Below are 21,329 nucleotides of genomic sequence, written 5' to 3' on the forward strand. Positions count from 1 at the left end.
TAAATAGTCATGGTATCATTGGATCATATGGTAGTTCTATCTGTAATTTATTTTTTTTTATAAATCTCCATGCTGTTTTCAATAATGGATGTGCTAATTTACATTTCCATCAACAGTTGTATAAGAGTTCCCTTTTTTCTGCACCCACATCAGCATCTGTTTTTTTTTTTTTTTTTGCCTTTTTGGTAATAGCTATTTCCAACTGGGGTAAGATGATATTTTATTGCTGTTTTAATTTACATTTCCCTGATTAGTGATTTTTTTCATATATCCGTTGGCTGTTTGTGTATCTTTTTTGATAAATGTCTATTCAGAACCTTTGCCCACTTTTTAAATGGGGTTGTTTTTATGCTGTAGAATTGTTTGAGTTTTTAAAAATATATTCTGAATATTGGTCTCTTGTTGGATGAATAGTTTGCAAATATTTTCTGTCATTCAACAGATTGTCTCTTCTCTCTGTTGATTGTTTACTTTGCTGTGGGGAAGCGTTTTAGTTTAACGTAGTCCCATTTGTCTATTGTTGTTTTTATTGCCTGTGCTTTTGAAGTCTCAGCCATAAAATCTTTGCCTAGACCAGGGTGTTCCCCTTATGTTTTCTTCAAGTAGCTTTATAACTTAGGTTTTTACTTTTAAGTCTTTTATCCATTTTGGGTTAATTTTTACATATGGTGAGACACAGAGGTCTAGTTTCATTCTCTGCATATGGATATCCAGTTTTCCCAGTACCACTCATTCTAGGGGTGTTCTTTCCTCAGTGTATGTTCTTGGCATCTTTGTTGAAAATCAGTTGGCTGTGTTTTGTAGTTTTCCATTTAGAGGTCTTTCACCTCTCTGGTTAAATTTAGTCCTAGGTGTTTTATTTGTTTTTATGCTATTGTAAATGGGATTACCTTTTGTTTGTTTCTTTTTCTTTTAAGCTTGTATTCTATATATATATTTTTTATACTTAAATTCTGGGGTATATGTGCAGAATGTGCAGGTTTGTATCATAGGTATACATATGCCATGGTGGTTTGCTGCACCCATCAACCCGTCATCTACATTAGGTATTTCTCCTAATTCTATCCCTCCCCCTGTCCCCCATCCCCCAACAGGCCCCAGTGTGTAGTGTTCCTCTTCCTGTGTCCATGTGTTCTCATTGTTGAACTCCCACTTATGAGTGAGAACATGCGGTGTTTTGTTTTCTGTTCTTGTGTTAGTTCATTGTTTGTATATAGAAATGCAACTGGCTGGGCATGGTGGCTCATGCCTGTAATCCCAGCACGTTGGGAGGCCGAGGCGGGCAGATCACTATGTCAGGAGTTCGAGACCAGTCTGGCCAACATGGCGAAACCCCGTCACTACTAAAAATACAAAAATTAGCTGGGCGTAGTGGTGGGTGCCTGTAATCCCAGCTACTTGGGAGGCCGAGGCAGGAGAATTGTTTGAACCTGAGAGGCGGAGTTTGCAGTGAGCCGAGATCATGCCATTGTACCCAAGCCTGGGTGACAGGGCGAGACTCCATCTCAAAAAAAAAAAAAAAAAAAAAAAAAGAAAAAAAAAGGAAAAAAGAGAAAGGCAACTGACTTTTGTATGTTTATTTATTTATTTTTTTATGGAGTCTTCAGGTTTTTTTAAATATAAGATCATGTCATCTACAAAGAGGGAAAATTTGACTTCTTTTCTAATTTGTTTGCTATTTCTTTCTTTCTGTTGCCTAATTACTCTGGCTAGGATGTCCAGTACTATGTCGAATAGGAGTGGTAAAAATGGGCATCCTTATCTTATTCTAATTCTAGAGGAAAGGCTTTCAGCTTTTCCCCATTCAGTATTATGTCAGCTGTGGGTTTTTCATATATTACCTTTATTATGTTGAGGTATGTTCCTTCTGTTCCTAATTGGTTGCAAGTTTTCACCATGAATGAATGTTGAATTTTATGAAATGCTTTTTGTGCATCTATTGAGATGATTACATGGTTTTCGTCCTTCGTTCTGTTGATGTAATGTATCCTGCTTATTGATTTGCATACGTTGAACCATTCTTTCATGCCTGGAATAAGTCTCACTTGATCATGATGTATTATCTTTTTAAAGTCTTGCTGAATTTGGCTTGCTAGCATTTTGTTGAGGATATTTGCATTTGTGTTCATCAGAGATGTTGGTCTGTAGTTTTCTTTTTTTGTTTTGTCCTTGTCTGGTTTTGGTATCAGGGTAATGTTGGGCTTATAGAATGAGTAGAGAATAATTCCCTACTCTTCCATTTTCTGGAATAATTTGAGAAGAATTAATGTTAGTTCTTCTTTTTAAGTTTGGTGGAACTTGGCAGTAGTCATCTGTTCCTGGACTTCATTTTGTTGGGAGAATTTTTATGACATTCAGGTTTTCCATTTCTTTCTGGTTCAATCTTTGTAGGCCTGCAGGAGGAGTACACAGGTGCCATCAGTGGTGGATGAGGCAGGGTAATCTCCAGAGCCCCAGATGATGCACTTGGACACTGGGGGAGGGTGGCATTAGGTGGTGTGGGCCTATCCTCAGGCCCCCTGATGGTGCATATAGGCACAAGCCATGATGTGCAGTGTGAGTCAATCCCTAGGCCTCTAATTAATATGCTTGGGCAATGACAACAGGCGTTTTGGACCTGTCAGGCCTCCTGATGGTGTATGCACATGCCCAGCATGACAAATGGGGTTAGGTGATCTCTAGATGCTTGGGTGGTGTGCTTGAGCACTGGGAGGGATGATGCTAGGCAGGATGGGTCTGTCCTCAGGCCCCTCAATGGTGTGTCCAGGTTGGGCTGTAGTGGGCAGGGCAGGATGATCCCCAGGCCTCTGGATGGCATGTTTGTGTGCAGGCAGCAGGAGTTCTGGGTTCATTGTTAGGCCCCCTGATTGTGTGTGCACACATCCAAGGTGAATGATGGGTGAGGCTATTCCCAGTCCCCAGATGATATGCTCAAGCAATGGGGGAGGTGGCTGGGTGGGACAGGCCTGTCCTCAGGTCCCCCAGTGGTGCCCATGGGCCTAGGCTGTGGTGATCCCTAGGCCCCCAGACAGCATGCTCAGGAGCCAATCGCAGATGGGCTGAGTCTTTTGTCAGACCTGATAATGTGTGTGTGTGCACAGGGTGATGATGGAATGAGATGAGGTGATCCCCAGGTGGCATGCTTGAGCTGTGGAAGAGGTGGTGGTAGGCAGAGAAGGCCTGTCCTTAGGTCTATCTGATTGCATACATTGGCACAGGCTGTGGTGGGTAGGGATAGGCAATCCCCAGGCCTCTGTGCGGAATGCTTGGGTAGTGGTGACAGCAGCAGCAGCAGGTGGGAAAAGCCTGTACTCAGGGCACATGCAAGTACATGGCAGCACTGCTGCTGAGGCAGTGGGGTTGCTGTTAGTGGTAGTGGCCTGCAGGCTGGTAGTTCTCAGGCTCTGGAGAACACTTGCTTTGACTGCCTTTGTCCTCATGGCAGCCTCCCTGGTACACTGCACCACTCTTTCCCCAAGGTGTAGGACATTGTATGGGCTAGCATGCCAGAGACCCAACTGCACTGCTGGGTCCTGTAGCTCTCTGGGTGAACATGGGGGTATATCAGTGGAGATGCAGGGGCTATTGGGCCTGAGGGCAGAATACAGTCTGGTGGGAGGTGGGCTCTCAAAATGACATCATGCTGCAGCTGCTTTATTCTTGGGAGTTATGTGGGACCTAGGGTGAGCTCCCTCTCTGGAGCAATGCCATCCTGTAGACTCCAGGTAGTTTCCTATGCTAGTCTCAGGGCTGGCCTGTGAGGATTGAGGGGCTCTCCTGTCACGAAGATTGCAAGAGTTGGCTGTGGGAATATGGACCAGTGGGGATCTCTCATTCATCATTTTCCCACATTGGAGAAAATCTCTGGGCTTCCAGCCAATCCCAGCTGAGCCAGCTGCCTCACTTTTCTCTCCTTGTGTGCCTCAGGTATTTCCTATCACTTCTCTGCTGAATTCCAGTGTTCTTTTAGATGCTCCATTCAAAGAGTGATGATCTACTCACTGTTTCTGTTTTTCTTTGTGGAGGAAGTCAGTGCCTGGTGCCTCCAGTCAACCATCTTTAAGTGCTAGCCTCACAGTGATTGTTTTGAGTGGGGACTTTTCTAGCTTTTGATTTAAAGTGAGAGATGTGTGACTCTTCCTTTCATTTGAACACTTAGAGGCCATTGGAGGGTTATTTATTGACCTAATTTCAATATTGTTGTGTCTCAGGGAATAGGTAGGCCCAGGGAAGGGGAGAGAGATGGGGGAATGAATGGTTTGTGGATCAGTCAGAACATATACAACATTTTTGGGCTATTCCTTTTCTCTTTTTTTGTTTTGGAGATGGGGGTCTCACACTTATCATCCAGCCTGGAGTGCAGTGGCATGATCATGGCTCACTGCAGCCTCGACTTTCTGGGCTCCTGTAATCTTCCTATCTCAGCCCCCCAAGTAGCTGGGACTATAGGTGCACGCTACCATGCCTTGCCAACTTTTTTGTATTTTAAGTAGAGACAGGGTTTCACCATGTTGCCCATGCTGGTCTTGAATTCCTGGGCTTGAGGGATCCACCTGCCTTGGCCTTCCAAAGTGCTGAGATTATAGGCATGAGCCACTGTGCTCAGCCTAGGCCTTTATCTCTAAATTGATTTAATTGTTTTCAAGAAAGCCCTCTCAGATAGCTGTCAGTACCATCATAAAAATGGAATTTGTAAATAGATTACATGCTCAACAGATTTCTGGATTTTATATCTCCTTTTTTTTTTGTAAAGATAATTTCAACTTTTATTTTATATCCAGAGGGAACATGTGCAGATTTGTTACCTGCGTGTATTGCATGATGCTGAGGTTTGGGGCACGACTGATCCTGTCATCCAGGTACTGAGCATAGGACCCAGTAGTTTTTCAACCCTTGCCCCACTCCTTCCTTATCCCCTCTAGTAGTCCCCAATTTCTATTATTGTCATTTTTATGTCCATAAGTACTCATTGTTTAGCACCCACTTGTAAGTCAGAGCATGTGGTATTTGGTTTTCTGTTGCCATGTTAATTTTCTTAGGATAATGGCCTCTAGATGCATCCATATTGCTGCAAAGAACATGATACCCTTCTTTTTTATGGCTGTGTAGTATTCCATGGTGTATATATATCATATTTTCTTTATTCAGTTCATTGGTGAAGGGCATTGAGGTTAATTCCATGTCTTGCTATTGTGAATAGTGCTGAAATGAACATATAAGTGCATGTGCCTTTTTGGTGTGACGATTTATTTTCTTTTGGATACAGAGTCAGTAATGGAATTGCTGGGTTGAACGGTAGTTCTGTTTTAAGTAATCTGAGAAGTCTCCAAGTTGCTTTCCACAGTGGCTGAACTAATTTACATTCCCATCAAAAGTGTATAAGCATTCCCTTTTCTCTACAGCCTTGCCAGTGTCTGTTGTTTTTTGACTTTCTAATAATAGCCATTCTGACTGGCATGAAATGGCATCTCATTGTGGTTTTGATTTGCTTTTCTCTGATGATTAGTGATGTGGGGCATTTTGTTGTATGTTCATTGGCCACTTCTATGTCTTGAGAAGTGCCTGTTCATGTCTTCTGCCCATTTTTTAATGGGGTTATTTGGTTGTTGCTTGTTAAATTAAGTTCCATATAGATTCTGGATGTTAGACCTTTGTCAGATGCAAATATTTTCTCCCATTCTATAGATTGTCTGTTACTCTTGATAGTTTCTTTTTCTCTACAGAAGTTCTTTAGCTTGATTAGGTCCCACTTGTCAATTTTTGCCATTGTTGCAATTGCTTTTGAGGACTTAGTTGTAAGTTCTTTCCCAAGGCCAATGTACAGAATAGTGTTTCCTAGGTTTTCTTCTAGGATTCTTACAGTTTGAAGTCTTACATTAAATCTTTAATCCTGAGTTAATTTTTATATACGGTGAAAGGTAGGTTTCCAGTTTCATTCTTCTGCATGTGGATAGCCAACTATCTCAGCACCATTTACTGAATAGTCTTTTCCCCCACTTGCTTATTTTTGTCCACTTTGTCAAATATCAGATGGCTGTAGGTTTGTGGTTTATTTTGGGGTTCTCTATTCTGTTCCATTGGTCTATGTGCCTTTTTTTGTGCCAGTACCTTGCCATTTTGGTTACTGTAGCCTTATAGTATAGTTTGAAATTAGGTAATGTGATGCCTCCAGCTTTGTTCTTTTTACTTAGGATTGCTTTGGCTATTCTGGTTTGTTTTTAGTTCCATGTAAATTTTAGAATAACTTTTTTTTTTAGTTCTGTGAAAAATAATATTGGTAGTTTGATAGGAATAACATTGAATCTATAGATTGCTTTGGGCAATATGGCCATTTTAATGATATTAATTCTTCCTGTCATAAGCATGGAATTTTTTTCGATTTGTTTGTATTGTCTGCTCTGCCCTTTCCTTTCCTTCCTTTCCTTTCCTTTCCTTCCTGTCCTGTCCTGTCCTGTCCTGTCCTGTCCTTTTTTTGTCTTTTCTTTTCTTTTTTTGATAGAATCTCACTCTATTGCCCAGGCTGGAGTACAGTGGCACAATCTTGGCTCACTGCAACATCTGCCTCTGGGGTTCAAATGTTTCTCCTGCCTCAGTGTCCCTCAGTGTAGCTGGGACTACAGTTGTGCACCACTGCACCCAGCTAGTTTTTGTATTTTTTGCTAGAGACAGGTTTTTGTTGTGTTGGTCAGGCTGGTCTAGAATTCCTGGCCTTAAGTGATCCATCCGCCTTGGCCTTCCAAAATGCTAGGATTATAGTCATGAGCCACCATGCCTGGTCGTCTATGCTTTCTTTTTATCAGTGTCTTATGGTTCTCCTTTCGGAAATCTTTTATCTCTCTGGTTAGATGTATTTCCAGGTATTTTTTTGGTAACTATTATAAATGAGATTACATTCTTTATTTGGCTGTCAGTTTGAATGTTATTGGTGTATAGAGTTGTTACTGATTTTTGTACATTGATTTTTGTATCCCGAAACTTTACTGAAGTTGTTTATCAGTTCTGGGAGCCATTTGGTGGAGTCTTTAGGGTTTTCTTCATATGGAATCATATCATCAGTGAAGAGAGATAGCATGACTTCTTCTTTTCCTCTTTGGATGCTTTTATTTCTTTCTTTTGCCTGATTGCCCTGGTGAGGAATTCCAGTACTGTGTTGAATAGGAGTGGCGAGAGTGGGCATCCTTGTATTGTTTTCGTTCTCAAGGGGAATGCTTCCGCTTTTTGCCCATTCAGTATGATGTTGGCTATGGGTTTGTCATAGATGGTTCTTACTATTTTGTGGTATGTTTCTTCCTATTTTGTGGTATGTTTCTTCAATGCCTACTTTCTGGAAGGTTTTTTCATGAAGGAATGTTGGATTTTGTCAAAAGCTTTTTCTGTCTATTGAGATGAGCATATGTTTTAATAAACAATAATTAATAATAGTTTTAATTCTGTTTATATGGTGAATCACATTTATTGATTTGAATATGTTGAACCAACCTTGCATCCCGGGAATGAAGCCTCTTTGACCAAAGACCAAAAGCCTCTTTGACTTTTTGATGTACTGTTGGATGCTGTCTACTTGTATTTTGTTGAGGATTTTTGCATCTATGTTTATCAGGGATATTGGCCTGTAATTTTCTTTTTTCATTATGTCTTTGCCAGGTTTTGGTATCAGGATTATGCTGGCTTCATAGAATGAGTTAGGGAGGACTCCCTCCTCTTTGAGGTTATGGAATAGTTTCAGTAGGATTTGGTACCAGCTTTTCTTTGCACATCTGGTAGAATTTGGCTATGAATACATCTTGTCTAGGGCTTCTTTTCTGGTTGGTAGGTTTTCTTAAATTGTAGATCCAATTTCAAAACTAAATATCAGTCTGTTCAGGGTTGCAATTTCTTCCTAATTCAATCTTGGGAGATTTTGTGTTTCTAAGAATTTATCTATTTCCTCTAGATTTTCTAGTTTGTGTGCATAGAGGTGTTCATAATAGTCTCTGAGGACCTTTTGTATTTCTGTGGGATTGGTTGTAATATCACTGTTGTCATTTCTGGTTGTGCTTATTGGCATCTTGTCTTTTTTCTTTGTTAATCTAGCTAGGGCTGATATGGTTTGGCTGTGTCCCCACCCAAATCTTACCTTGACTTGTAGCTCACATAATCCCCATGTGTTGTGGGAGGTTCCTGGTGGGAGGTAATTTAATCATGGGTGCAGTTACCCTCACGCTGTTCTCGTGATAGCAAATAAGTCTTATGAGATCTGACGGTTTTATAAGGAGGTTTCCTCCTTTTGCTGGGCACTTCTCTGTTCTGCCGCCCCGTGAAGAAGGACATAGTTTCTTCCCCTTCCACCATGATTGTAAGTTTCCTGAGGCCTCCTCAGCCATGCTAAACTGTGAGTCAATTAAACCTTTTTCCTTTATAAATTACCCAGTCTTGGGTGTGTCTTTATTAGCAGCATGAGAATGAACTAATACAAGGGCCTATTAATCTTGTTCATCCTTTCAAAAAACCAACTTTTGGTATAGTTGATTATTTGTATGGATTTTTGGATCTCAATTTCATTCAGTTCAGCTCTGATTTTAGTTATTTTTTTTCCTTCTGCCTGCTTTGGGGTTAGTTTGTTCTTGTTTTTCTAGTTCCTATAGTGTGATGTTAGATAATTAATTTTCAATCTTTCTAAGTTTTTGAGGTAGGTGTTTAGCACTATAAACTTTCCTCTGAACACTGCTTTTGTTGCATCCCAAAGATTTTTAGTATGTTTTTCCTGTTTTAATTTATATTAAATAATTTTTGATTTCTCTTCTAATTTCATTGCTTACCCAAAAGTCATTCAGGAGATAGTTTGTAATTTCCATATAATTGTGTGGTTTTGAGAGATCTTCTTGATATTGATTTCTATTTTTGTTCCATTGTTGTCCAAGGGTATGGTTGGTGTGACTTGATTTTTTTTTAAATTAATTGAAACTTGCTTTATGGCCAAACAATGGGGTCAATCTTGGAGTGTGTTGTATGTGAAGGTGAGAAGAATGTGTGTTCCGTGGTTGATGGGTGAAGTAGTCTACAGATGTCTATCAGGTCCAATTGGTCAAATGTTGAATTTAAGTCCAGAATTTCTTTGTTAGTTTCCTGCCTTGATGATCTCATACTATCAGTGGGGTGTTGAAGTTCCCCACTATTATTGTGTGGCTGTGTAAGTCATTTTGTAGGTGTAGACACACTTATTTTATGAATCTGGGTGCTCCAATGTTGGGTGTGTATACATTTAGTACAGTTAAGTCTTGTCGAATTGAATCCTTTATTGTTACGTAATACCCTTCTTTGTCCTTTTTTTTTTTAACTGTTTTTTACTTTTTTTACTGGTGTTGGTTTAAAGTTCGTTTTATCTAATTTAAGAATATGTAAGACCCTTGCTTTTTTTGTTTTTTTCCATTTGCATGGTAGATTTTTCTGCAACCCTTTACTTTGAGCCTATGGGTGTTTTTACATGATGAGTCTTTTGAAGACAGTAGATGGATGGGTCTTTTTAAAAAAATCCAACTTAACCCCTCTGTTCCTTTTATGTGGAACATATAGACTATTTACATTCATTACATCCAATACTAATTCACGTTAATATTTATGTGTGAGGCTTTGATCCTATTGTGACATTTTTTGCTGGTTGCTTTGTAGTTTCTATCATGTAGTTCCTCCATAGAGTCTGTGGGCTATGTACTTAAGTATGTTTTTGTGGTAGTAATATTGTTCTGTTTTTTTCATTTTTAGAGCCCCCTTAAGGATCTCTTGTAAGGCTTATCCTGTGGTAACTAATTTCCTTAGTGTTTGCTTATCTAGAAAACATTTTATTTCTCCTTCACTTATGAAGTTTAATTTGGCAGTTTATGAAACTCTTGGTTGGAATTTCTTTTCTTTTAGAATGCTGAAAATAGGCTCCCAATCTCTCCTGGCTCATAAGGTTTCTGCTGAGAAGTCTTCCGTTAACCAGATGCATTCCCTTTGTACATGACCTGACCTTTTTCTCTAGGTGCCTTTAAAATTTTTTGTTTATTGTTGACCCTGGACAGTCTGGTGACTGACTATATGCTTTCGTGTTACTCATTTTGTATAGTATCTCTCAGGTGTTCTCTGGATTTTTTGTATTGGATGTCTACCTCTCTAGCAAGATTAGGGAAATTTTCATGAATTAGTCCCTCAAATATGTTTTCCAGGTTGTTTTCTTTTCCTTTGTCTCTCTCAGGAACGCCAATAATTTGTAGGTTTGGTTGATTTACATAATCCCATATTTCTCAAAGACTTTGTTCATTTTTTAAAGTTCCCTTTTCTTTATTTTTGTTTGACTAGGTTAGTTTGAAAGACTGGTCTTCAGGTTCTGAAATTCTTTCTTCTGCTTGGTCCAGTGTATTGATACTGTTTTAATTGTATTTTGAAATTCCTTACGTGAGTTTTTCAATTCCAGAAGCTCCGATTGATTTCTTTTTAAGGTGTTTATTTCTTCCTTCATTTCCTGGATTGCTTTAGAAGTTTCTTTGTGTCAACTTTGTCTTGCATCTTGTTGGGCTTCCTTGCAATCCATGCTTTGAATTCTTCATCTGTCATTTTTGCATTTCCATTTTAGTTAGGGATCACTGTTGGAGAGCTGGCATGGTACTTTTGTGTTGTCACTATATTCAGATTATTCATGGTGCCAGAATTATTGTGCTGGTTCCCTTTCATCCAGAGACACTTACACTTTATATTTTTGTAATTATTTTCTTTTGGGTAGATTTTTTTTTTTGTTTCTCTTTCTTATATTATCATCGAGGTTTTTCCCTTACTCTTTGCCCTCCTCCCTAGGGGTTGTTACAGTAGAAAATGCTGGGTAGGATCTTTCTGGTTTGTTTCTATATTCCTATGCATTTCTGTTGATAGGGTTTTTAATAGGCTGTGTCGTTCTACCTGCAAGCCGGTAGATTGTGCTTATAGGTAAGAGGCAACTGTGGGCAACATAGCTGAGTGTATATTTGATATTTGCTTACTGGGAAAAGCTCTCTGTTGCTTCAGGCAATGGCCTGATGTGTGGAGTACACAAGAGGTCTGAGCTCCCTGCTTATCCCCCAGGGTTGCGGGAGGGGAGTGCAAGATAGGTGGAGCTGGACTTAGCACGTCTGCTTATAAGTCCACTAATGACAGGCACAAGCACCAGCACCGAGGGAGAATCCAGTTGGGTGGCCACCAAGTGACCAGAGGTGTGTCTAGGCCTGGAGCTAGGAAACATTCTTGGTCCCAAGTTCTCTGGACGGGAATGTGGTGGCCTAAACTCCTAATCCAAGAAAGTGGGTGCTCCAGATGCCTGCAGATCTTCCCAGATGTGGAGCAGAGAGGGCCACTCTGCACTAGGATCTCTGCACAGAAAGGGTGGGGCAGCTCAGGCTGCTATTCTAGGTGAACAGGTGCTCTGAATGCCTCCGGAGATCTGCCTGGATGTGGAGCGGAAAGGGCCCCATTGCACCATGATCTGTGTCCATGAAGGGTGGGGCATGTCAGGATTCTGGTCCTAGTGAGCGGGTTCTCTGAATACCTGGATTTATGCCGGGGGGCAGGGGGTGGAGCAGAGAGGGTCCCACTGTACCACAATCTCAGGAGAGCAGCAGGCTGGGACACCCTGGCACATGCAGATTGTTTCTAGGTCGCCAAGGCTGCAAGTCTTGTCACCTAGGAAAACCTGCAGCTGTAGCAGCTCTCCAATTGCCCCAGGCCTGTGATGGGGGACAGCACAATTCTGGTACCTACTTCTGAGGAGCTTTCTATAGTTCTGGCTGTAGAGGCCCTTACCCCCCTCCAGAGCAAGTACTTCAATCCCTGGCCCTAGACTAAAATGCCTGCATGGCCACACGGCTGGGTCACCAAAGAATGGTTGACTTTGTATTTGTCTGGATTTAAAAGAGTATCCTCCTCTGAGTCCCAGGTCTGGGGAAATGATTGCAGCTTTTCCTGGTGTCTTTCTTTCACAGCATCTCCAAGCCTCTCTCCAAGTTCGCTCCAGGGCTTGCGAGAAACAAAGTGCTCTCCCTCAGCCCCAGCTCCTCGCACACCCAGTGGAAAGGTGAGTCACAGAGGGAGGTTCTTTGCTTCGCTCATGTACCGGGGCTTCACTTACTTTTATCAGCTGGATGCCATCACAGGGGCTGTTTATGAGTTCTCCTCCCTGGGATTTGGGGTGTCCTTCACGGTTCTGGTGGATTCCCATTTTCCTTCTTGAATTAAAGCTCACAGAGTTGACCTTTATGCACTATCTTGCTATGGTTGTGGTTTGTGGTACTCCCAAACAATTACAATAGTAACATCAAAGACCGCTGATCACACTAGCAGACATAATAATAAAGTTTGAAATATTGTGAGAAGCACCAAAATGTGGCACAGAGACATGAAGTGAACACATGCTGTTTGAAAAAAATGGCACTGATAGAATTGCTTGGTACAGGGTAGCCTCAAATCTTCAATTTGTAAAAAAAAATGTAACATCTGTGAAGTATAATAAAGTGAAGCACAACAAAATGAGGCATGCCTGTACTAGTGTTAGCATCTCCGTTTTATAGATGAGACATCTGAGGAACAGATAAATCTGACTTTCCTGAGGTTTCCTAGTAAAAGGTACAGCTGGAATACAAAGCCAGGCAGTTTTGGCCCTTGAGTTTGCACCAGGCCAAAAGGAAGGAAACTTGCAAGAAATGGCACATAGAAATCTTCAGGTGGAGAAGAGATCCAGAGCAAATAATTCTTAGGAACTGTAATAAAAGCTTTGCTGCTCACCTGGACACTTCTGCATGCTGAGGCCTGTGCCAAGTCACGCTGACTTCTTTGATCAGGCCTGAGGCATCCTGCAGGGAACCTGGGCATGTATCTTTGGGCATGCCAAAAGGTGGATATGGATTCTGTCTAAGCCAGTATTCTGTCCCTCTGTTGGTTGACAATCACCTCACAGAAATCTCTGTGCTTCTCTTTAATTGAGGACTTTGTTTCTGCAGTCAGGGATTTGGGTTTAGCAAAGGTGATTTGGTTCAGATCTTTCATGCAGGCCCTAATTGACAGTGTCCTCCTGAGATGCCTCCCTGCTCAGGCCCCACCTCCCAGGACCTGCCCTAGGCTTGTCTTTCATCATCAACAGTGCCCCTGCCCCTTCCCGTGTCTCTCTCTTCCCTCCAGGTTCCCAACCTCCTAATGAGAGCACTTGCAGATCCAATCAACTGAGCAGTTGTGTCATGTGAGTGTGCAACACTTTGCTGGCCACTCAGTAGCATCCTTCTGGAGCCTGAAAACCTTAATCCAAACAAATGAAGTCAGTGACAAAAATTGGCTGAAATTTTTTTTTGGCATGAGCATAACCTGTGGCACCTACTTGCCTCCCAAATAATATGCAATCGACCCTCCATATCCATAGGTTCAGCATCAGTGGTTGCAACCAACCAAGGATTGAAAATATTTTTTTAAAAAAGGATGTTTATGTCTGTACTGAACATGTACAGTCTTTTTCTTGTCATTGTTTCCTAAACAATACAGTACAACAACAATTTACATAGCATTGACATTGTATTAGGTATTATAAGTAATCTAGAGATGATTTAAAGTAAATGGGAGGACGTATGTAGTTTATACGTAAATACTATGCCATTTGGTATAAAGGACTTGAGCATCTGTGGATTTTGGTGTCCGCGGGGTGTCCTGGAACCAATCCCCAGCAGATACTAAGAGATGACTGTATCTGCCTACTTTATAGCACTGCCTGGATATTGAATAGCCATCTTGGCAGTGCATGTCCAAGGCTGAACTCTTAATCTTCAGCCCCACATCTGCTCTCCCAAAAGTCTTTCCTTCTTACTCTTATCATCTTTCCTTTCTTCACAACCTGCATCTCATCTGCAAACAAGTCTCCTCCACAACTGTGTTTCAAATCTCCTCCTTCCCTCCAGCTCCACTGCTACCATCATCTCAGGCCACCACCACCTTGCATCTGGACCGCTGCAGTGACCCACTTAATTGGCCCCCACCAGGCCCCATCTATTATCTCCTCAGCAGCTAATCATTAAAAAATGTGAATCGGATAATATTTCTCCTGTGTACCAGCTTTTCACAGCTTCCCATAGCACTTAGGACAAAAGCTCACTTTGTGTCACAACCTGCAAGGCCTCCTTGGAGCAGCCAGCCCTTGCCACCTCTTCAGCTTGGCCCTGCCTGGCTCTTTCCTTGCCCTCCCATCTAGCCACACTAGCCTTATTTCCATTCTATGCCAAGGCCTTTGCACTTGCGGTTTCCTCAGGGCCCCCAGGAATGTCCATGCCCTAATCCCCATAACCTGTGACATCTAATGTGGCATAGCAGAAGGGACTTTGCAGATGTCATTAATGCTACAGACTTTAATCTAGAGAAGCCTCTCTTATCCAGATGGGTCCACTTAATCACATGAACCCTTAATAGCAGAGAAGTTTCTCCAGCTGGAGGCAGAGTAGAAAGAAGTCAATGAGATTAGGAGCCTGAGAAGGACTCAGGCACGATAGCTGGTTCGAGATAGAGGGGACACCTGGTGAGGGGTACAGGCAGCCTCGGGAGTGGAGAGTCCCTCACAACCAGTGAGGAAACCAGACTCAGCTCTGCGGCCACAAGCAATCCTTCCCCCCTTCCCCTTCCCCTTCCCTTTCCCCTTCCTGTCTGGGCTGAAGTGCAGAGGCGCAATCTTGGCTCACTGCAGCGTCGACCTCCTTGGCTCAGGTGATCCGCCCACCTCAGCCTCCAGAGTAGCTGGTACCACAGGCGTGTGCCACTACACCCAGCTAATTTTTATACTTTTTTGTAGAGATGGGGTTTTGCCATGTTGCCCAGGCTAGTCTCGAACTCCTGCACTCATGTGATCTGCCTGCTTTAGCCTCCCAAAATGCTGGGATTACAGGCATGAGCCACCGCACCTGGCACAATTCTGAATAAGCTTGGTAGCTGATTCTTCCCAGAGGCTTCAGATAAGAGGCTGGCCAGTTTGGCACTTTGATTTTGGCCTTCTAAGACCTACAACAGAAAAACCAAGGGAGCTTCCCTGGAGTCTGACCTGTAGAACTACAAGATAACATATTTATGTTGTTTTGAGCTGCTAAGGTTATGGTAATTTGCACCACAGCAATAGAAAATGGATCCAGCCTGGAATATTATTCTTTTTCCACTACTAGTTTCCCGATGGCACAGTCTCCTGCTCAAGCTCAGCTGTCTCTGATTAGCCCATCTAAAGTAGGTCCACCTGCTATTCTCTCTCAGGCCATCTTCTTTTTCTTCCTAGCATCAGCCACAATTTGCCATGTATACTTTTTGAGAGGCAGTACAGCATGGGGGAGCTGGTGCAATACTCACATACGCAGACTCTGGAGCTGCTGGGTTCAAAATCTGGCGCATCCTATTTGCTGCTTGTGTGACCTTGGCTAAGTTATTAACCTTTCTGTGCTTTAGTTTTTTCATCTGTAAAGTGGGCATACTACTACTAGCTCAGAGGGGTTTAGTGAGGATAAAGTGAGTAAACATCTGTAAAGCATTTAGAACAGTATTTGACACAGAGCAGGCTCCTGTAACTGTAGTTATTTACTATGTATGTATTTAGTGGCTTTCTAGACTTGGGGTCAGCAAACTACTGTCTGTGGGTCAAATTCAGCCACCACCTGCTTTGGTAAACAAAGTTTTATTAGAACATAGTCACGCCTAGTCATTTATGTACTGTTGATTGTACTTCCATGCTACCATAGCAGAGTTGAGTAGTTACGACCACATGGCTTGCAAAGCCTCAATTATTTATTCTCTGGTCTTCTACAGAAAACACTTGCTGTAATTGGAAAGCCCCGAGAAGGTTGAGAGCACTTTTGTTTTCTTCATCTCTGCGTCCTTATTTCTTGGAACACTACCTGGCAAACCATGGGTGCACCATGCAGCAAGTTAAGGTCGCCGAAGTAGAATTGCGTATTAAGCCAGTGTCTCCATCCAGGTAAGAAAGAAAGTGGGTTCCATCCTTGCTTCCCCTGAGTAGCATGAGACCAGTCTCTAGCATGGTGTAAAGTCCCACAGCACTAGGACCAGCGATTCCACTCCATCAGCATTCAATTCATCTCTTCACCAGCTTCATTAATGCTCCCCTGCTAGGGTGTCTTGGGCTTTAACATTAAGTGCCATTTTTACTTTCTAAATTAAAGCTGCTTTGTAGCTGTAGTTAATAAGCTCAATCTTCTTTGGCCGTTTGTCTCCCAGGTTGGTACCTGAGTTGTACTGTCTAGGGTGTCTCAGATGTCACAGTGTCCAACTGCCAAGTCATAAATTGGTAGGAGCTACAGAACACATGGTGTTTTAATGACACTCTATTATGAGCTTTAAATTGCCTCCTTACAGAAAAGCCCAAAGATGGTGTTAGCCTTTGACCTGTGTTGCTGGGAAGTTTTAAAATGTCTGAAGTTTTCGTTAATTACTTCCACGCCTTTCCTGCAGCTGTGTTTTACAGGGCTGGTTTGCTGCCATCTATCACGATATTTTCACATTTCTAGTCGCATACTCTTTAATTATTCCACGGGGGCTTTCAGAGCGTTTTTCATTATCCAATATATTACACTTGCAGGGAAATCAGGTTGCCTTTTCATGAGGTGAAAAGACAGAGCTGATTGCTAATTGAGCAGTTTGCCACCAGGATCAGCTGTATCAGCATCTACCAAGTTGGCTTAGGGGGTGGAGGCTGGCAAGTCCTTCTTAAATATTCCCCTACTGAGGCTTCAAAGCTTACCCTAGGTGAATTATTTTCTTGCATTGTGCACTGTCTGCTCCAGAGCCATTCTTTGTTTAATCTCCTGCTGATAATTCATTGAGTGATAATAAAGTTTCAAAATCCCATGCTTCCTTCTTGAGTGATTTGGGCAGGTGAAAGCAAAACTGAGTGTTGGGGGTCCTTGAGACTCCGGTTGGGAAATCGGGGAGGGGGACAGAAAAGTGGTAGGGGCTTTGCCTCACCAGGTCAGCCTGGTTGTGAAATCATGGCAGGTTGGTGTTATTTTTAGGAGGTGAGAACTCAGATAGTAGGTAATGCCAACCTACTCCGGAAGGTGAGGCATCTTCAGCCTGGACATGGCTTTGGTGTCTCTCACTCTCCTTTCACCCAGCAGTCCAGGGTGAGCAGTGGAATTTCCACCTGTAGCTCCCCAGGTCACCAGACAAGAGGCCTCATCACCTGAAAACCTTCACTGAATGAGCTCAGAGCATGTCAAATCTCTGCAGTTACAATGCAGCTACTGCCTAGTTACTTCATATAGGTGAACGTTGCCCTCCAGCATAGATAAATCCACTCAAACCTTAATTGCATCGGTTTATCTTTAAAATGGCCACTAAAGTACCTTCATAATGGGATTGTGTAAATTAAATAACTTAATACACAGAAAGGGCTTAGAATAGTTTTTGGCCCATAGTAGTATTCAACAAATGTTAATAGTTACTACTACTGTTTTCTTCCTATGGCGACTATTACACAATTTGATATCATGCTTTTTCATTTTGTTATGAACATTTCCTCATGTTTTAAAATTTTTGATGGTTGTTATTATTTGTGTTAACTATTTTACTAAGTAATATTTTGATGAAAATTATTTTAATATAAATCATTTTAGGGATTTAAAAGGTAATAAAATGGATTTTTAGAGGTCAAATTACTGGGTGAAAGAACACAACATTTTTGTCAACCTGTCCTTCTAAATGTAATGTATGAGTATGACCATCTGACCATCCTTGCTAATGCCATCACTGACAAAGAGTTGCCAATTTGGGTGATAAAAATAGTTCTCTTGTAGTTTTACTATGCATTTACTTTATTACAACTGAAGTATGACATTATTTTAAAAGTTTATTTGAATTTTATTTCTTTCTCTGAGTTTTCTTTATATATTCTCTGCTTATTTTTCTATAGTTTATGTTTTTCTTGATTTAAAGGAATGCTTTATGTACTATAAATTTTATATATTACATTCATGTGTTTTAACTTAATTATTTGCAGTTATTTTTCTTCATCTTTTCCTAATATTTTAATATTGCTTATAGGATCTTTTGTTATCAAATTTTAAACTATGTGGTCTATCGATTTAAATCTGTAGGTCTTAAATCTATCTTGGTTAGTCTTGTCTTTTCTGAATTTTGTGTGTTTCTTTACTGTGTCAAGACTTTAAAAGCTTCGGTCTATAATTTCTGCCACTGTTTTAATAATCCACCTGGATTTTTTTCTTAGGTGATATATTCATCTGTTTTCTTTTGCTTATAACAGAATATCAGAAACTGGGTAATTTAAAAAGAAAAATAATTTATTTCTTACAGTTCTGGAGGCTGGAAAGTCCAAGGTTAAGGGGGCACGTCTGTTGAGGGCCTTCTTGGTGGTGGAGAGTTCTTGGAGTCCTGAGATGGTGTGGGGCATCATATGGCGAGGGGCTGAGTGTGCTGAGCATTCTAGCTCTGGTCTCTTTTCCTCTTCTTACAAAGATAACTCATTAATTCATTAATTGCCCTTCATTGTTTTATAAACTATTTTCTTGGAAATTTGTGGGCATATTCTACATGAGTTTTAGCATTAGCTTGCCAGAATTAATAAGATATTCTTGAGTTTTGGATTGAAATTGCATTGACTTTATAGGTAAACTTGTGAAGAACTAAATCTTAACAGTGTTACAGCTTTTTATTTGGGATCATTGTAATTCTCTCCTATAGAAAAAAATTCTAGTTTTCTCCATATTTGTTTTATGAATTTTTTGATAAATTTATTTCTAGGTTTTGACAATTTGGGTTGCTGCTGCGAATGCAATCTTTTCCCATGACATGTTCTAATTACTTTTATGGTGAATTTGTTCCTCTTGGGTACGGCTACCCAACTGAAGTCTCCTTTCGTTCCAATGTTGATTCCATTGGATTTTCTAAGTTGATAAATATATTGTTTTAAAATTACATCTTGTTTCTCTTTCCCCAATATTTATATCAACTTTTCTTTTCCTATTCTTGTTGCATTGGCAAAGATCTCCAGTGCAATTTTGAATAGCAGGGCTGATAGTGGGCATCTTTGCCTTATTCCTGATTTAGTTAGATCTTCTCTAATGTTTTTCATTAAGTATGATGTTAGTTTCTTTTAGATAATTTTTATAAAGTTAAAAATCCTTCCTCTTATTCCACGTTTGTTAAAAGTTTCATTGGGAATATGCCAAATAATATTTTTTAAAATATTTCTTATTATTTATTGAGATCTTGTTTTTGTTTTACTTGTTAATGTGATGAATTACATCAGTTCAACATCAACTTAATGTTGAACCAACCATTTCTTTATTTCTGTAATAAGCCCCTTTTAGCCATATTAAAGGGTTATTGCAATATACTTTTGGATTTGATTTGCCAGAACTTAATTTAAAATGGTTTCATCTGTATCAGTTTTTGAGCTAGTCCTCCAGGGTGATGTATTAGTTTCCAAGTGCTGCTGTAACAAATGATCCTTTTTCCAAATAAGGTCACACTGACAGGCTTAGGGGATTAGAGCATGGACATGTCATTTTGGAGCCACCGTTTAACCCACTGCAGGTTTGTCATTAGCGTGGCACTCTGCCTTTGGAACATGTGGTGGGATTATATTTCTTGGATCCCTTGGGCTGGATGGAGCCATGTTAGTAGTTTTGGCCAATGAGTTAGATGTGGAAATAATGTCACTTTTCTGGGCCAAGCATTTTATTGCCACTACAAGATATCCAGGGCTGTCTTTTCCTCCCTTTGACTCAGTGACCAGCAACCTTCAAGGCCAGCCTGGGCCCTTGATTGACTATGATGAACAGACTCTTGCCAACCAGCAATGGACATGTAGCATGAGCAAGAAATAATCTATCATTGTTTAAATGAAGGGTTGGCAAAGTTTATCTGTAAGGGACCAGGTAATAAATATTTTAGACTTTTCAGGCCAAGCAGTGAAATCAAAGATATTACATAGGGACTTAGATCATAAGAGAGAAATAAAATTTCCAATTATTTTTGATGAAATCCAAAATACCATAATAGAGGATAATTTTTTTATAATACAGGTCTACTAATAAGAAGAATGAATATTATATTTTTGGCAGGGGGACAACAGTTCACTTAACTGGAGCTTAAAGTTAGTATTCCCTATGATCAAATCAATTGTAGTGTTTATTTGTTAATGGTAGCTTGTAATGAGATTTTATATATTTCAGTTTAAAAATGTCTTTTCACACAGATAAGCACTATCAAATGCTGATACCAATTATTAGCATATGCTTTTTTTTTTTGAGGCAGGGTCTCACTTTGTCACCCAGGCTGGAATGCAGTGGCGCAATAATGGCTCACTGTAGCCTCAGCCTCCTGAGTAGCTAGGACTACAGATATGCACTACCATGCCTGGCTAATTTTTAAACGTTTTGTAAAGAGGGAGTCTCACTATGTTGCCCAGGCTGGCCTTGAACTCCTGGCCTCAAGTAATCCTCCCACCTCAGCCTCCCAAAGTGCTGGGATTACAGGCATGAGCCATTGTACCTGGCCAGCATGTGCTTTCAGTGGAGCACATTCATTGCTTGGAAGGTGGATAAATTAGATAGTGCCCCTCTCCTAGGAGCACACAGTCTGGAAGGGAGATATCTATGTAGTATCTGTAAAGTAGTGATATAAAATACATTCCTCATCTTCCAAGACAGTGCATCTTTTCCTCTAAGAAGATTTTCTCATTCCCTTAGACCCCCACTCCTATGTGCATCCACAGCTCTTTGTTCAAATTTTTATTATTGTCTAGGGAGACTGATTTTTTAATGCTTATGTGGCATCACCCAGAACATAGTATTTAAGAGTGCACACTCTTTGGGTTCCAGTCCTGGCCCTCCCAAAAACTTTCTGTATGACTTTAGGCATGTTACTTTATCTCTCTGTGCTTTAGTTTCCAAATATGAACAGTTTCGTAGGGGTGTAATAATAAAGAAATGAGTTTTTGTATATGTTTCACCTATAACTGTTGTTTTGCCTTGTAATTTTAGGTTGAATTCATTAAGAAACATTATCACGTCTGGGGCAAAAGCTAATTTCCAACGGTTAAAAAGTTAGCTTATAGGCCCTACAAAAGCAGGTAAAAGGCCCAGTTTGGTCCATAGGCCAGATAGGTTTGCTGACTCCTGGTCACTGAGATGTTGGGATTGTGTGTTACTGCAGCATATCTCTCTCTCTCTGTGTGTGTGTGTGTGTGTGTGTGTGCGCGCACACTTTTTTGTTGGAACTTGGTATCAGAGCTAGCTTTGAAGAAATAAATGGGAAGTTTTGACATTTTCCTGTACTTTGAGAATTTATTATATAAA

General features: G+C 40.8%; 1 long non-coding RNA gene across 2 annotated transcripts in view; it reads left to right on the forward strand.

The window, feature by feature from the left end:
* Positions 1-21,329, forward strand: part of LOC105378515 (uncharacterized) — a 164,918-nt gene that overhangs the window by 20,409 nt on the left and 123,180 nt on the right. For both annotated transcript variants that reach the window (XR_001747606.1, XR_001747605.1), the window contains 2 exons: positions 11,967-12,058; positions 15,799-15,967. This is a non-coding gene — a long non-coding RNA (uncharacterized LOC105378515). The remainder of the gene's footprint in view (positions 1-11,966; positions 12,059-15,798; positions 15,968-21,329) is intronic.

This window comes from Homo sapiens, chromosome 10 (assembly GCF_000001405.40).
Source record: "Homo sapiens chromosome 10, GRCh38.p14 Primary Assembly".
NCBI lineage: Eukaryota > Metazoa > Chordata > Mammalia > Primates > Hominidae > Homo > Homo sapiens.